Raw genomic sequence first — 16,907 nt, 5'->3', positions numbered from 1 at the left:
GCCCGACACATAGGAGACACTGAATACATACCTGTGGTTTCACTCACAAAGCCCTCATTGTGGAGTCTGATATGTGAAGCAGGCTGTGGAGGGACTTATTAAGCAGTGGGACTTGCCCAGCCACCCCCCAACCCTACTTCCCAGGTGATCACTAATTCCACCCACAGAAAACTAGCACAGCCAGGAAGCCACTCAGATCATGAATTTTCTGCCCTTTTATTTCACGGCTGCCCCCTCCCTCTACCCCCAGGCTTCAGGCTTCAACCATCCTGGATGATCCAGCCTGGAGCGGCTGAGGCTGCCACACTGACTGCTCCAACTACACAGAGAAGCCAGAAACGTCTGTCACTTGTGCCCTTGGTTTATCTTTAGAAGAAGAATGACTGAAAGGACCTCCACTGCCCAGGATGATTGTTTTGACAAGTTTTTATTGCGCATCAAATTGCGTCATTGTTTTGTTTAGCATTGAAAGGAGTTAAATTGCTATGAACTTAATGCGCCACCCCTAGTAAACCATTAGGTCCCTTCTGTGTTCCTGACTTTATAAGTCTGTTTCCCTCAGAGGAACATCTGTTGTATACTTAAATGACCTTAGTTCAAAGGCACGATCAACAAAAAATTTCTTAACTCCACTAGGAAGCATTCGAGGGGATCGTTTCTCTGCACTGGTCGTACAGGATGAGGGGCTTCTCTGTTAGCAGCTGTGTACATCTGCCCGTGGGGGCAGAGGCCCCTCTCTTTCTGCACATCATTAAAGATGCTCAGGCCTGTTTTTCAGCCTGTTTCCCACTCTGACCCAGGCAAGTGAGTCTCGCCAAAGTCTCCATTTTACAGGCATCGATAGCCAGGGTTCCACTCAAATGTAATTTTTACCCCATGTGCGGAGGGAGTGTGATGAAAGACAAGCGAGGAGTGCTCTGCTAATCCTTGGAAAGAACATGAATGGGCATTAGGAATTTCGAGCAACTTGACAAGTGTAGGAAAAACAGATTGTTCTTAGCCAAACACAGAGGAATTTGAGGAGAAAAACGAGCCTGCTGCAGAGAAAGATTCTAAGGACACCATCTTGGAGGCCATAAAAATCATATTGGAAACAGAGATGGCATCAGCCTTTCTGGCTTCCGCGTTATTAGCTCATCCTGACGTTATCCCCATTTTACAGATGAGTCAGCAGGCACTGAGAGCTCCCGACTTGACCAGAAGAGTGCCCAGGCATCTGACTCCAGCCATCCTCTTTCATAGGCAGCTCCTGCTCAGGGTTAAAGTGAACCAGCCACAGTTTATACAGATGAAGAGAATGACGGCGTGGACAATCACAGTGAAGTATTCCAATGTCTCTTTCCCTCCAGCTCCTCTGCTGAGGACTGAGCTCTCAGTGGTCTCCACAAAGTTAGCCAATAGTCTTTTCGTTCTTACGGTTTGGTCAGATTTCCCAGGGAATATGACTTTCGAGGATCCTCTGATGTCGGGCCCATCAAACATCAGGAAAATACAAAACTGCATTTCTCCAGGAGGATGAGGAGAGGTGGGTTGTCCCAGTTAAGCAAAGCTGGGGTTACTCAAGGGTTGCACTGTCCAGGCTGGCTGAAGAGTTGTCATGGAGAAAGGGCCCCAGCTGGGGCTTCAGACTATGTCTTGGGGCCTCTTCCCTAAAATGGGTCTTTGTGTCTGCATGCACATGTGAGTCTTTATGAGTTGTTGAAACTTTTCTGGAAGTTGGTGGGTTTCTGTAATGCTGGATCATGGACTTGTGCCCTCTTGCAGTTGGGAAAGTCATTACTAAAAATAAAGCTGGGTTTTGCCTTATTTGGAGAGGACTGGCCTGCATCGTCTCTCTCTTCCTATGTTGCCTTTTAGAGCAAGTTGAAGGGCTTTATCATGAAAAAAGAGTGGTTTTTAAAAGTATAGACCAAATCCTATGGCAAGATTTTTAGAGACTGCTAGAATCTTTTTTGTTGGACCAAAATGTTGCAGCATTTATTCTATGATGCTGGTAGCCTGTGGATCCATCTGGATCTGAGGAACCGTGAGGGTTTTATTTAATTTTGATCCTTGAAGTATTCATTGAAATGGCCTGTGACTCACAGCCATGTTATTCTTTTATTTGTCCATTCATTTATCCATTCGGTCAATCAAAGGTAATTGAAGAAAATCTGTGTCAGGCTCCATGATGGGCTTTACGGATGCAGAAATGAATGCCTCACCATTCTGCTCTGCAGGATTTTACCACATGGCTTCAGAGGCTAGTGGTCACAGCCCTGGATCTCAGTGCTGTGGGGCTGTGCTAGGGTTGGAGGGGGGAAGTCAGGGAAGAGACAGAGAAGGGCTCCTAACCTGGCTTAGGGAGTGAGGGAGGGGCTTCCAGACCCAAGTTTTAGAGGAATGAAGAACAGAAGAAGGAAGACAGGAGAGAATTCCAGGCAGAGGGGATGACACATACAAAGGCCTGGGTGATGGGGGGATTCTAAGCACTTCCTGGGGTCCCTCTGAAAGGTAGAGAATGACTGGGCATATCTGGATGCAGACCCAGCACAAGGGTGAGGCTGGCAGGGCTAAATAAAGACAGGATCTGCCCCACACCTACACAATTCACCTTACTTCCCTCTCTCTGATCCCGTCTTGTCAGTCCACATCTTCGTCAATACTCATATTCTGTTCATCATGGATTTTTTTTCATTAATTTTGGTTTTTAAAAGATTGCACTAAAACATTATTTATTTTGATTGCTGAGTTTTTTGGTGCCCCCTTAAATTCTGCACCCAAGGTGGGTGGGCTCCTCATTCACCTCATCCTCATCCTGGCTCATTCAAGAGAAGAGGCCTAGAAGTGGGCAGGACAGGGCCCAGGAGTGACCCTTTCAGCTCAGGACTTTACCCTTCACCCTGAAGGCAGCCGGGAGCCACCGGGGATGGTGAAGCAGGGAAGTAACCCCATCAGATGTATTTTAGAAAGCCTCCTGGCAGCGGCAGGGTGGAGGGGGGCAGGAGGCAGAGGGCTTAAAAGCAGAATCCCAGGTGACAGCCAATGAGGGCCCAAGTCAAGGCCAGGAAAATGGAGTTTAGGAGGAAGGCCTGGTCAGGAGCAACACACACTGAAGATTCTAGCAGGCCCAGCATCCAGCCTCCCTAGGCTGTCTTTGGCAAAGGGTGGGTAGAGAATACCCAGATCTTCCAATGGGCAGAGTGAGATGTAGGGTTAAAGTGGTCAGATGACCTGGTTGCAGCTGCCTGGGGCCAAGCTGAGCCCTGCCATGCCCACCCTACAGGCTGGAGCTGTCCAGCTCCCTGCTGGATAGGGGCCATTTGCAGGGCTCTTTTCCCCACTTTGCCCCCACCCCACCCCCTAGCCTAGCCCAGTAGGTCCTGGGCCCTTAGGCAGGACAGGGGCCCCAGGAGCAACGATCTCAGCTCAGCACGCAGGCATAAAGACACACAGGCAGGGAGGTGGGAGGGCAAAAGGAGGTCTGGTCCCCATTAGGGGCCATTTGCTTGTGGTATCAGGCCATTGGGGCTGCGGGCTGGTTAACAGGCATGGCCACGGGCTGCTGGGAAGGAGCTGCTGCCTTGAAATCGCATTGATTGGCTCTAATTTTTCCTGCTCCACACAGGGGGCCCAAAGGCAGCTTAATGCAGGCTGGCAGCCGTAGCAGCCCAAGACAGGATGTCTCTCATGACTAAGAAAAGACAGGGGGCTTCATTTTCTCCAACTGGTGCTTCCAGATAATGCAATTTACTGTCACTAAAATCTCAGCTGGTCAAATTCCACCTCTTCCAAGAAGCCTTCCTGCCCTTTCTAACCCCTGGGCTCTGACATCAGGCACATCTGGGTCCCTTCCCATCTCTGTGTCCTCCCCTTATCCCCCTAACCCCTTTGAAAGCCTCAACTTGTTTCTCTCGCTGCAGGAATGGACGGGCAGGACCCCCATGGCAGACATGTGGTGACAATGATGGGGTGACATAATGATGAGGCACCCTGCTCTGCACAGACCTTCTCTTCTCAGAGCAGGCCTGGCCTTCATATCCAGATGCCTGCCACTGTCCCAATCCCACACCCTAACCCCACCGGATTTGATACACTTCTCTGAAGCTACATGGGAGGAACCTGGTTTTCTCCTTTGAGGACACAGCCCACCCCCACCAAAGAATCCAGGCCTCCAGACCTGAGGGCAAATTTCCCTCTTCCATTTTCTTGCTCACTGCCCACTGTTGTTTTATCTTTTCTCCCTTCTCTCCCTCTCTGCCTCCCCATCACTGGCTTCCCTGGGTAGCATCTCAGGGCCTGCAAATGCTGGGCTCCTGGCTTCTCCCTCTGGCCATTTCTCTGCCTTCATCTTCTTCATCTCCTTATTCTCCAACAAGCTTCCAGCTCTTTCCTTCTTCATTCAGCAATATTTATCAAATAGTCTTTAGTGCCTGCCATGTGCCAAAGGCTGTGCTAGGCCCTGGGCATAAATGGATGGGCCGACATAGGGAATGTCCTAACCATGTCCTCTTGCTTTCTGTCATTTCTGTCTTCACTTTGGGGTCCTTCTTGGGCTGGGAGGGAAACCAGGCCTGCCCTGTCACCACAGAGCGGAGCAAAGCCAGGACCTTGACAGACCATCGTTGCTTCCCTCCCTCCTACTCCAGCCCACACCTGCCTAGGGACGCAGAGGCGCTCCCACTACTCTCTTCCTCCCCCTCTCCCTCCAGGGGCTATTCCTTCCCCCATAAGGTGAGTGAATGAGGAGTAGGGCACCTCCTTTTTTAGTCAGCTCCATCGTGGGGATGGGACAGTGGAAGACAGAGAGGCACAGGAGAAGAGCAGAGAGGACCGAGTGGTGAGGTCACCACAGAGTCAGGCCCATAAAGTGCTGCTTCCTCTGCTGGCCTGGCCAGCAGCCCCAGATCGTTTCAAAGGGCTTGATAAACAGCTTGGCAACCTTATCTCCCCCACACCCCACAGCACAGCATTACAGACTGGGAGAGGCAGCCGTCCTGGCCAGCCGGCCGGCAGCAGCACCGAGGGTAAGGTGCTCCTCTGCTGGGTCAAGGTGCTCCAGGCTCCTTTCTGAGCCCCACAACTGGCCGCCTTCTGGCAGCCACACAGCTGCAATCCCTGCCTGGTCTTGTGAAGCACATCTGTTCACAGTCAGGGGTCAGTGCCCATCCAGGAGCAAGGCAGCATCTACTCAGACCCCCAAGTGTGTATACCCGAGCCTGCATGCACCCAGGCACATGTGGGCACTCTGCACACCACAGATGCCTGCAAAGACACACAGGCACCCCCATGTGTCCACAGGCCCCAGTGCACCCTCAGGTTCACACACATATACTCACATAAGTAAGAATATGTTCAGTCCAGGAATTATATAGCCAGGTGGATTGCAGGAGCAGGGAGGAGTTCTTTCAAATGAAAAATAAAATATGGGCAAAGGAAATTCTGAAACAGCTTTAAAAGAAAAAAAGTAGAAGGAGCCAAGCCAACATCTTAGTGCTTCTGATGCTATCAGATTGGACTGAACTAACATGGGGGCTCAGTCTTGTTCCTCAGGGTTTTGTTCTCCTCTTGGGGCACATCCAGCCCTCTGCCTGGCAGGGCCCAGCAGTGGGGAAGAGAGAGGAACCCTGGCCTGCGCTAGGAGCATCAGGACAGAGGCAGCCCTGCCCACAGCATGCCCAGGTCCTCACTGAGCCTTTCACGCACAGGGATTGCTCCAGGCTCTGAACTGATCCCATGGTCAACCATCGTTTACCTGTCTGTCCAGAGGGATCGGTATTGTAGCTCCAGCACATGGGCTCTGGGACCAGGCTGCTCGGGTTCAAATCCTAATTCTGCTACTGCCCAGTGGGTGACTTGGGGTGCTTGGACTCTGTGAGTCTCAGTTTATCCTTCACTAAAATGGGTGTGATATTCCTATTTTACAAGGCCCTTGTAAGGATTCAATAAGATAATCTGTTATTATCTTATTGAGACCCAATAAAAGCTCAAGCAGTGTTACAATTCCTATGGTTAATCCTGCTAAAGGGAATGTTGAGACACCCTCACTCCCTTTAGTGTATTCAGCCTGCTCTTTCTGTTCTGCAGGGAGTGGAAGGCAAAGTACTTAAGGCAGTGGTTCCAGAGTGTGGTCCCAGCTCAGCAGCAGCAGCAGCACCTGGAAACTGGTTACAAATGCAGATTCTAGACCCCACCCCAGACCTACTTACTGTATCAGAAACTCTTGGGCAAGGCTGAGTATTGTGTGTTTTAACAGGCCCTGCAGAAGATTCTGATGCATGCTCAAGCTTGAGAATCACTGGGAAAGGTCAGGACATGGCACTTAGGCAGTAGATCCCAGCACCCACCTGTGTTAGCCTTTTATGGTTGTTCCCTAGAAATCTCCACCACCAAGCTCTGGGGTGAGGCCCTGAGTCCCAGACCCTGGCGTCCACACCCTGTCCCTATTTGACTCCCTCTTGGTCACCACGATTGCCTCTATTCTGCCTGCACCAGCCCTTCCCTACCCCCACAGCCGGCATGCTGGGGGGCCGGCCCCACCTCAGCCCTGCATCCAGCCTGAGTCCAGCTGGGCTGGACCCAACTCTGGAGTGGGAGACACAGGCACTTGACTTCAAAGCCCTGTCAGAGTGAGCCTGGTTTGCAGTGGAGGTCAAAGATAAACCAAGGAACAATTCGGCCAGAAAATGGGCTGTGAGGGGGAATGGGCGGAGGGAAGGGGGAAGGGGAGGGCAGCAGGGGGAGTGGGGTTCAGCTGTCCAGACCGCCAAGAAGGAAAGGCAACTGAAGCTTGTCTCTACAGACAGGAAGATGAGGAGCCCTCCTGCAACCAGGCCCCACCTAGGCACCCTTTGGTTAGGCAACCTGAGAAAGGGGTCTGGCCCCACCCTACCCCATCTCCACCCACTGCATGAGTTTGGATTGCATCTGTTCTGTCCTGATCCCTTGCATTTCCTCTCAATAGCAACGTGTGGTCAGAGCTGGGACAGACACTTGACTTTACTGACAAGCACCTTCTGGAGGCAACACAGTTGGGTGGAGTAGAGCAAGAGTCAGGTGTGACCCAGGTGTCTAGTACAGGTGCTGCCGTCTACACTGCATGGAGCTGCCTGTGCCACTCCCTGTCCTGCTGGGAACTTCAGGTGATGTCTGCATATGTCTTCCTGAGTGAGATCCACAGTTCCCGGCACTGCCATGGCCACACCTGTACCCCGGGCACTCCTCCCATTTATGCCACAGGTGTGCCCCTCGGGAGCACAGGAGTGGGGTGAAGGTCTGTGAGTTCCATTCTACACCAGAGCAGTGGGACAGAGGGTAGTGTGAGAGAACAATATGCTAGGGTGAGCCCCCAAAACCCATGGTGGATGGCTGGTGGGCATGCTGGGGAGGCCGCCTTGGACTCTGGGCTGCTGGAGACACTATGTGGAATGGGCTCTCCCCCAGGTATCAGCGGGGAGGGAGGTGTGCACACCATGTATCCGTGCCACTGTGTGCTCCGCATGTGCACACGTAGTATCTTGTATAACCCTTAGAGTCCTCTTTCAAGGTAGGTATTCATTTCTCCTTTTTACAAAGAGGAGAGAGGATGGGTGGGGCCCAGCATGTCACAGTTAGAAAGCAGCCACACAGGGATTAGTCGGGTTGAGCCCAAAGCCTCAGGGCCCCCATTAGCCTCTGCCATGGTGGAGAAGCAACAGAGCAGCCCCTGTGGGCAGCAGCTGTGATTCCTCCTGAGGGGCCACCTGCTCTGCCTGAGTCCTCATTGTGGGAAGGACTCTTGTGCCTGCACTGTCCTTGGCAGCCACACAGAAGCACTTGGATCTTTGGTCATCCACAAAGCCTGTACATGACCTCTACGTCCAAGATGAGCTGGTGAGGAGAGGTTGTTATCACCATTGCTCCCATTTTCAGGCAGGGAAAGCAGAGTTCAGGGAGGGGCCCTGCCCAGGTGTGCCCCAACGGGTAAGTGAGGAAGCTGGACTTGGGGCCCAGCTCATGTGGACAGGCACTGTCAGCTAGATGTGCTGAGATATCAGTGAGAGCAGAGGTCCCGAGGAGGGTGTGATGAGCATGTTTTAGTCCTCAGGGTGTTAACCAACATTACTTTAAATTAATGTAAACTTCATAGTGCAGAAGCATACATAATAAGATATGCATGTCCCCTCGACAATGCCAGTCACCTCCCCAGAGGTAACCACTATAGTAAAACGGCCAAGTCTCCATCCAGAGCTTTTCTATGTACTCACAAACACCTACAAGCACTTCTAGACTAGATTTTTGTTTTGTTTTGTTTTAGAGGCAGGGTCTCACTCTGTTGCCAGGGCTGGAGTGTAGTGGCAAGATCATAGCTCACTGCAGCCTTGACCTTCTGGACTCCTGGGCTCAAGCAATCCTCCTACCTCAGCCTCATGAGTAGCTGAGACTATAGGCACATGCCACTGCACCCATCTAACTTTCTTTTATTATTAATTTTTGTAGAGACGGGGGGTCTCACTTTGTTGCCCAGACTGGTCTTGAACTCCTGGCTTCAAGCAATCCTTCCACCTCGGCCTCCCAAAGTGCTGGGATTACAGACATGAGTCAAAGCAACTGGACAGATTTTCATTTTTAAAGAAATGTTCAATATTACATATATTGTGCTGTGACTCGCTTTTTTTTTTTTTTTTTTTTTTTTTTTTTGAGACGGAGTCTCACTCTGTTGCCAGGGCTGGAGTACAGTGGTGCAATCTCAGCTCACTGCAACCTCCACCTCCCAGGTTAAGCGATTCTCCTGCCTCAGCCTCCCAAGTAGCTGGGATTACAGGCGCCCGCCACTACACCCAGCTAATTTTTTGTATTTTTACTAGAGACGGGGTTTCACCATGTTGGCCAGGCTGGTCTCGAACTCCTGACCTCATGACCTGCCCGCCTCGGCCTCCCAAAGTGCTGGGATTACAGGCGTGAGCCACCGCGCCTGGCCAACTCACTTTTTTTATTTAATATTTCATGGGAATATTCCACATCAGTATATAAAGTTCATACCATATTCCTTTTCGGCAGCAGAGGCTATCCAAGAATAAAAGTCATGCAGTCTGATTACTCACAGAAGCTAGTGCTGAGCTATGGCCAGTTCCTATCCATCTGTAGGCTGAGGGAGGAGCCGCTGGCCCAGCTGCCTGTCAGACTGTCCCACATCTCAGGCAAGGCTGTGAGATCACCCCAGGCTTCCCTTAGGGTGATGCTGGCATTGGTGTCCTCCTGCCTGGCCCCACCCCCCATTCCCCAGGCTCCAAGTACCCTCGTGCTGGCTTGAGTCTCTCCAGTCCATTTCCACTGGCCCATGCTGGGGTATCTGAGGCCTAACGTGCTACCCTTTCTGGGAGTGTGGGCATCCTAAGAGGAGGCAGTGTCTTTACTCAAAGGAGCAAGGCCTGAATCAAGGCATAATGGCAGGAGAGGTGCAGAGACAGGCAGGGTGCAGAGGCCTGCTAAACTTCACGTGGTAGTGCAGATGCCCCACAGATCCTGCCTTCATGCTGGTCCAGCCTGTACCCCCTGTGTGAAGATGTCTGCTGCCCACTGGGTCAGGCTTAAGCAATCTGTATCAGTACACTCAAAGCCCTCCAATCTGGCCCAGTCTCCTGGCAGGCATCCTGGTCTCAAGGCCCCCGTTATCCTCCACAGGAAAGGGCTTTGATGCAAGGGGCCCTCCAGCACTGGCAGCTGTAGGCTCCAGGCTCACCCCTCATCTTTCTCTCCCTCTAGCTCCAAGATGCCATAGCTGAGCTCCCATACTTCACTGATACTCAACTGCTCTGCAGGCTCCCGTCTCTCTGTCATTGTCCTTGGTCCCCCCTCCACTTGGAATCCCCTTCCATCAACCTGTTGAAACTCTACCTGCACCCCGTCCTCTCTGGAGAATGGTCTCAATAGCCACCACCACTCTCCACCTCAGGCTCCCCTGACATCCAAGCTGTCTATGACAATCAGCACCCTCTGCCTGGCAGATCCTATGTCAACCCAGCTCCTGTCCACTCCACCAGACTGCAGGTCCTCAGGACAGGGACTGTGTCTTACTCCCACCCCCAAAGCCCAGGCAGGGCCTGGCACAGAGCAGGTTCCCAGTGGTTTCTCGCCCAGGTGGCTGCAGCCCCGGGCCCAACTCCTCCTTCACCAGCAGGAAGCACCTCCTTGGATCACAGGGAAGCCCTTACGCCACAGTTCAAGACTGTGCTGATCACAGTGAGGAAAGTACAGTGTGGCTGTTCACTGTGGTTTCTCTCCTTGGCTCCTAAACATTGACGAAGTATCTACTATGTGACAAACATCATGCTGGTTAAATGATCACTCACTTCAAAGAGTTTGCAGTCTAGTCAAGAAGCAGATAGTGTCCTGGTAGAGGAAAGCTGTGTGTGTGTGTGTGTGTGTGTGTGTGTGTGTGTGTGTGTGTGTGTGTGTGTGTGTGTGTGTTGAGGAGGGGGCTCTGAGAGCACAGCATAGAGAGTTGAAAAAGCCTTCTTGGAGGAGGTGAAATTTAACCTGAGTTTTGCTGAATAGAAGTTTTCCAGGAAGAAAAGGTTGGGGGAGGACATTCCAGGCAAGGGAACAACCTGTGCGAAGTCACAGAGACAAAGTGGAACTGCACAGGGAGCCTCCTGTCACAGCACTGCCCACTCTGGCTGTGACAGTCTCCCCTGCCCAGCCCAAGCATGCTGCTCGGGAATACTTGCCGAGTTATGCTGAACTGAGTTCCCTTCTGCTCTGCTGTTGCTGAGGGAAGGTTCCTGAAACGGAGAATGGGATGAGACTTCCCAACACTCTGACTGCTCCAGAGGCATTTTCCACTTCCAAATGTTGTCTCTGTGTGCCTGGGACAGCTCTTCTCAGGGGCACAGCAGGCCACATCTCCTGGCCAGGGTGCCCCCAGCTTGGCTCCATTTGGAGACTCAGGCCATTAGAAAAGAGGGCAGCAATTGAAGGGATGGGTGAAAGCAGCCAAGGCTCAATGTCTCAAGCCCTTCTGTCCATGTTCAGTCCTTCCTCTCACTTGCTGGGTGGCAGTGTCTGCATCATTTCCCCTCTCTCAGCCCTAGCTCCTGAAATTGCAATGAAGTTATTTCTGATTAAAGATCCCTACAGACACGATTGGAACAACAACTTGGTACACTGACAGACTTGTGCATCTTCTTAGCAGTCTGCATCCCCTGCTTCCCTGGAAGACATTCTGCCCCTCCCTCCATCATCTCCTCAAGGCAGGGCTGGGCAGGCACAAGGCTAACCGGCCACACATCAGGCAGTACTTCCTCTCTTCCCTTCCTTCTTCTCCTCCATGCTGCACAAAGTCTTTGACCTGGTTCTTCTCCCTCTGGGGAGGACCTTTCCAAGCACTCACATGCCCTCCTGGCACTTTCTCATGAGCCAGGTGACCTCTGAGAATTCTGCCATCTCATGCTACTCAGAACTGACCAGTGAACAGAGCAGGGAAACCAGTTAATTGCTTCAGAGGCCAAGGTGGTCAGAGGCCCTGGCGAAGATCTCAGACTACCTGGGTCCAGGCACACATCTGAGAGCTGTCCCAGACCTGCCTGCTATAGGCATTGCCCTGTGGCACCCACAGCCCCTGGGAAGAACAGGCACATGCACCTCTCCTGCCCTGGTTGCCAGAGATGCTGGCAAGAAACCCATCTGGAGTCGATGCTGCACACTCACAGCCAGCAGCATCTGCCAGTGGCGTGACCTGGCCCATATTTCGCCAGCAGTGAAGAAAAGAGAAAGCATCCCCCATCCTTACCCGCTCTAATTGCCTTCCTTCCGCCTGCAGGGAGGGAAATTGCCTCGTTCTGCCAGAACTTTGCCTCCAGGAGGCTTTCAGGAGAAAGTCTTCTTCCAGAAGAATGGCTTCCTTTGGCATCTGGCAGGGCGTGTGCAGTGCGTATCCTCAGCGTCAGAGGCAGAGTCAGTGCCGGCCATGGCAGGGGGCGGGGAGGTGTAATAAGCGGAGACAGCTGCCGCCTCTGTTGTAAGGCCAGCATTGAGGAGCCGTTGCATAGATAATTGGGGCGATGTCCTGGTACACTGAGGAGATCCACTTCCAGATGGCACTGAGGGACCACTTAGAACAATTAGCCAGGGGAGATGACTCCACCTGCTATTTTTAGAGGGTACCACATCTGGAGGTGGTATCTTTTGGCTGGAAAAGTCTGCACCAAAGGCAGAGGGATTTGCATAATCTTCCATGATCGACTCATCAAGATTTCTCCACCCATCAAGATGTTTTTAGCTTTTCAGATGACAAATCATTCTGGTGTTTTGTGCATGGCGCCTGGCCCTAGAGCAGCCTCCAGATTATCTTTTTAATCAGTGCTCAATGCCATACTGGAAGGAGAGGAGAGAGCCATGCAGTCTTGCTTCCTGTGGCCCAGTTTTCCAGCTCTGTCCATAGGAGGTGGTGCTGAGTGGCTGGGAACCAAGTCTCAGGCATGGCTGGGGTGCTTCTCTGGGCTCATGGATCTGTTTGCTGGGAATGCAGCTGAAATGTTGTCCCAGGATCCCCAGGCAGTAAGCTTCAGACAATGAGACCAAGGGGATATGGATTTTGGAGTCAGACAGATGTGAGCTCAAATGCCAGCCATTTGTTGTGGGCTTGGGTGAGCCACTTCACTCTGCTGTGCTTTAGCTCTCCAGCTTAAAACGGGAGGAGACCTACCTTGGAGAAGCAGAACTAAACACGCTGCAGGGGATGGTGTGGATTTTCACACAAGACCTCAGTAGACAAAGCTGTGCCTTTCTTTATTTCCCAGCATAGCTTTGCACTTGAATCTGGGTCCATTCATGGCTGGAAGCCCTTGGGCCGCTTTGCAGGAGATCCAGCCTCTTTCTTTCTTTCTCAATCAATTCTTGGTCAACTTAGGTCAATCTAACACTCCTTCCCTTTCTCTTCCTTTTTTTGTCCCCTATGAGATGGAAGTTCCAGGCATTAGAGGGATTGACCTAGGTCAATCTAACACTCCTTCCCTTTCTCTTCCTTTTTTTTGTCCCCTATGAGATGGAAGTTCCAGGCATTAGAGGCAGAGGCAACTGCCTCTCCCTCCAGTCAGCCCAGATGTCCCTTGCCTGGCCTTTGACCATTGGCCCCTGGCCACACTGTGACTCCCTGCTACCACATCTGCACATTTCCACTTCTCTGCTCACCAAGTCCATGCAGTCACTTGGTGTCCCTCTTGTTCTGTTGGAAGATGTCTCCAGATCTGCCTGCCCTTCTCTCAGTTATATCCTCACCCAGTGGGGCCCAGTAAATTCACAGACACTCCCCTACACTGTTTCAGAGGTTCTTGATGTCGCTGCCAGACATTTCTTCCCTTTCTTCCTTACTAGCCTGACAACCACCCCCCCCACCACACCTCTCTCCAGGAAGTGTTACCTGACCACAAGTTTACTCAAACCAATGGCCTTCCTCTGCAGCACAAGCAACGGGCCCAAGCTCCAACACTATGTCTGAGTGCCTGGACCGTCTGATGTGTTTTCTTACACTACCAGCTCACACTGGTAGATCTGGGTCCCCATTGGGAAGTCCTGAGAGTAGCTACAGTCCTCTCCTGCAGCCTGGCCAGGGCTCAGCCCCCAGCCCAGCCTGCACTATGCCATGCTGTGCTCCCCTGTGGCGGGGCAGGGTTGTTTCTTTGACTTTCCTACTCTCTGGTATTCTCTAAGCTTTATACAGTCAACACAGATCACTCTTTGCTCCTGAATGTTAAAGAATGTCTTTCTGATTTTTCTTAAAGTTAAAGCAGTCTTGGATGACGAGCTGTCCTTGAGCCCCCTTACCTAGAAGGTAGGATTGAGGTATGATGAAAAGTGTGGGCTTTAGCTCAAATTCTGACTCAGTTCCTTATGTTGACCTTGGATCATTTTTATTTCCCTCTTTAACTTCAGTGTCCTCAACTCTAGGTGGGAATAACAACCACACATCCCTCCCAGGACTGTGGGGCCCTCAGCATAGCACTCTGCTTGGAGTAACTGCTCAGAGGAGGGCTGTCACTATTATTGTCATCTTTGTCCCACTGACAGAGCCAAGTTGGGTGGACTCATTCCCAGGAGCATATGGCTTCTCACGCTCACCCCAGTCAAGCCCCTGGGCACTCTTCATCAGCAGGGCCACCCCATGGCAGGGGAGGCACCATTGTGATGAGAGGTAGCCCCCAGTTTCAGGAAATGGAAGATCTCAGGCTCCCGGGAGAAGTCAGATACCCCCACACTGCCACCATGGTTCACCACTGGAGCCGCTATGGAGAGGTGGCTCCTTGCCACCCCACATTCCCTTCATCTCCCATGCCTTCTTCCAACTGCCCAATCCTCATCAGCTCCCAACTCCCTTTCACCTCCCCAAATCCCTTCTATCTCTTTTTTTTTTTTTTTTTCCAAAACGGAGTCTCACTCTGTCGCCCAGGCTGGAGAGCAGTGGCGCGATCTCGGCTCACTGCAAGCTCCGCCTTCTAGGTTCACGCCATTCTTCTGCCTTAGCCTCCCGAGTAGCTGGGACTACAGGTGCCCACCACCACACCCAGCTAATTTTTTTGTATTTTTAGTAGAGATGGGGTTTCACCGTGTTAGCCAGGATGGTCTCAATCTCCTGACCTCATGATCTGCCCGTCTCAGCCTCCCAAAGTGCTGGGATTACAGGCATGAGCCACTGCGCCCAGCCATACCCCTTCTATCTCTTGCAAAGACAAACCCACTGTCTTAAAGTAGCCCATTTCATGTCCATCCAGAAATACATCTTTCCAATCCAGCCTAGAAAACAGCTGCAAACAAGGGAGAAGGCCACAAGAGAAGCCCTCAAAGGGCATTTTGGGTGTCCATGTAAGGACAGGGCTCAAGAGACCAAGGTGCCACGCAGAAACAGAAGCCTGGGGCTTCTGACATCAGGGCCAGCCCTGGTGCAGGTGTAAGTCCAGGAGTGCCTTCTCCCAGGCTGCCACAGCAGGAGCTTTCTGGGGGCAGATTTTCACATTGGTCAGAGGCAGCTTCCTGGAGCCTTAGGACCAGTGGTCATTGGCCTACAGGGTGGCAAAAGGCAGAGCCAGGCAGGAAGGGGGCAGTGGGAAGTGTACCCCACCCAGGCTGCTACCTATGGTGGGCACACAGCTGAGCCATCTCTGGGAGCCCAGCATCTCCCAAGTCATGGCCTGGCCTAGAATAGGAGGAAAGAAGGGGCTGGATTCTTACCTAAGCCAGCTGGAGCTGTGAAACATGGGAATGAGAAACTCAAAAGTAGACAACACAGAGCGAAGGTTCATTTAGTCAGGAGCTGGAATTTTCACACCAGCTCACATGATCTTACATTCACTCTGGAGGTGTGTAAGGTCTTCTGAGCCCTGTAATCAGATGGTAAATGTGAAGCTCAGAGACATCAGTGATTTGTACAATGTGTAGATGTATGATTTGGGGGAAGTGGCTTAACCTCTCTGGCCTTCAGCATCTCCCGTTAAAGCTCTTTCCTTGCAAGGCTCTTGCAAGGAAAAGAGAGGAAATACACATACAATGGTCAGCACTGTGCCCAGCCCGCAGAAGGTGCTATGTACATGGCCATAATCTTTATCAGTTCCAGGGAAGGTCCAATTTAGCCTGGTAGAGAAGAAAAACGGGGAATGTGGGCCCTCCTATGGGGCAGGGATGGCAGGGCTCACACTCCCCTTCGAGAAAAGAGACTTTGGCTAGGCATCGCTAGGGTTTCCCCTGCCCAAGAAGTCTTTAAAATTTATGCCATATCCCAGCCACTCCAAAAAGTGAACATGATTCTCATTTTATCAATTAGGAAATATATTAAGAGAGGTAAAATAACTTGCTAAATGTCACATAGCTGAGAAGCAATAGAACGGGCTTTAAAATTAGGTCTTCCTAATTTCAAATTTAAGTTCTTCCCAAACACCCTACTGCTTCCCAGAGCTCCAAAGCTGAATTCAGAGATAACTTCCAGCCACCTCACTTTAGCCACATTTCTTCAGGAACTCATAGCCTTTAACAAAAATATATTGTGAAATATGCCATACTTACAAAAGAATACTTTAATATAAGTATATAATACAAGGAGTAATGAAATTTATATGTACTTAAAAATAATGTGTCTTTGATGCAGTTTCACCAAAATGTATGTGGTTCTGAATTCCTACTTTTCTTGTTTATGATTTGTTATGCTTCTAACATCCAAGTTTTGGTGTCTTTTAACAATTCTGGGAAAATGTTAGCCATTATTTATTTGAATACTGCCTCTTCCCCATTCCCTCTATAAACATCTCCTTCTGGAATTCCAAGGACCTCCACACACTATGCTTCATGTCATAACCTTACTTTCTTCTTGTTCTTATCTTTATCTCTCTGACCTGCATACTGGATAATTTCTTAAGAATTATCAGTTTATTAATTTTCTCTTCAGCTGTGTCTAATCTGTTGTAAATTCATTTGCTGAATTTTTTAATTGTTATATACATTTTCCTAGTAGTTCCAGGTTTTTTACAAATCTGCATTTTTAAAAAGTGTCCTGTACTGTGTTCATACTTTTAAACATTCATTTCTTAGAACACACAGTTATTTTTCATGTCTGTTTATTTTAATATCTGAAGTTTTTGTAGATCTGATTCTACAGTCTATTGTTTCTGTTGGTTCTCACTCATGGTCCCTTATCTTCTGGTGTGATTTTATGATTCTTGACTGGAACTGAAATCCTCATTGGAACTTTACATCTGTGGGAAATCTTTGAGGCCTCAGCTGAACGTGCCATTTTGCAAAGATAATTTGTTTTTGTTTCTGCCAGTCACTTGTTGGGAAGCACCAACTTGGGACTCTGTTGAATTAAATTTTCTGCTTAAGAATTTCTGACAACGTATGAATTTGGATCATGTATCCATGTGAGAATCGACTTTTGGTTAAGTATTCTCAGGAGAATTAACTTT

General features: G+C 50.5%; 1 long non-coding RNA gene across 1 annotated transcript, besides 2 other annotated features; it reads right to left on the bottom strand.

The window, feature by feature from the left end:
* Window positions 1-411: 411 nt before the first annotated feature.
* Window positions 412-11,982, bottom strand: LOC124906290 (uncharacterized). Its single transcript, XR_007096115.1, has 2 exons — window positions 11,750-11,982; window positions 412-11,054 (listed from the first exon to the last, which is right to left on the bottom strand). It is a non-coding gene; the product is annotated as an uncharacterized LOC124906290 (long non-coding RNA).
* Window positions 4,125-4,353: a silencer, noted in NCBI's record as "fragment chr3:139008074-139008302 (GRCh37/hg19 assembly coordinates)". NCBI's record gives its function as "represses an EF-1alpha promoter that drives an FKBP-Casp9 reporter gene in an ReSE screen in K562 erythroleukemia cells {active_cell/tissue: K562}" and the evidence as "EXISTENCE:reporter gene assay evidence [ECO:0000049][PMID:32094911]".
* Window positions 10,030-10,221: a silencer, noted in NCBI's record as "fragment chr3:139002206-139002397 (GRCh37/hg19 assembly coordinates)". NCBI's record gives its function as "represses an EF-1alpha promoter that drives an FKBP-Casp9 reporter gene in an ReSE screen in K562 erythroleukemia cells {active_cell/tissue: K562}" and the evidence as "EXISTENCE:reporter gene assay evidence [ECO:0000049][PMID:32094911]".
* Window positions 11,983-16,907: the final 4,925 nt, after the last annotated feature.

Source organism: Homo sapiens, chromosome 3 (assembly GCF_000001405.40).
Source record: "Homo sapiens chromosome 3, GRCh38.p14 Primary Assembly".
NCBI lineage: Eukaryota > Metazoa > Chordata > Mammalia > Primates > Hominidae > Homo > Homo sapiens.
The sequence above is the reverse complement of the archived record's forward strand: the minus strand, read 5'-3'. Positions and strand labels throughout refer to the sequence as shown.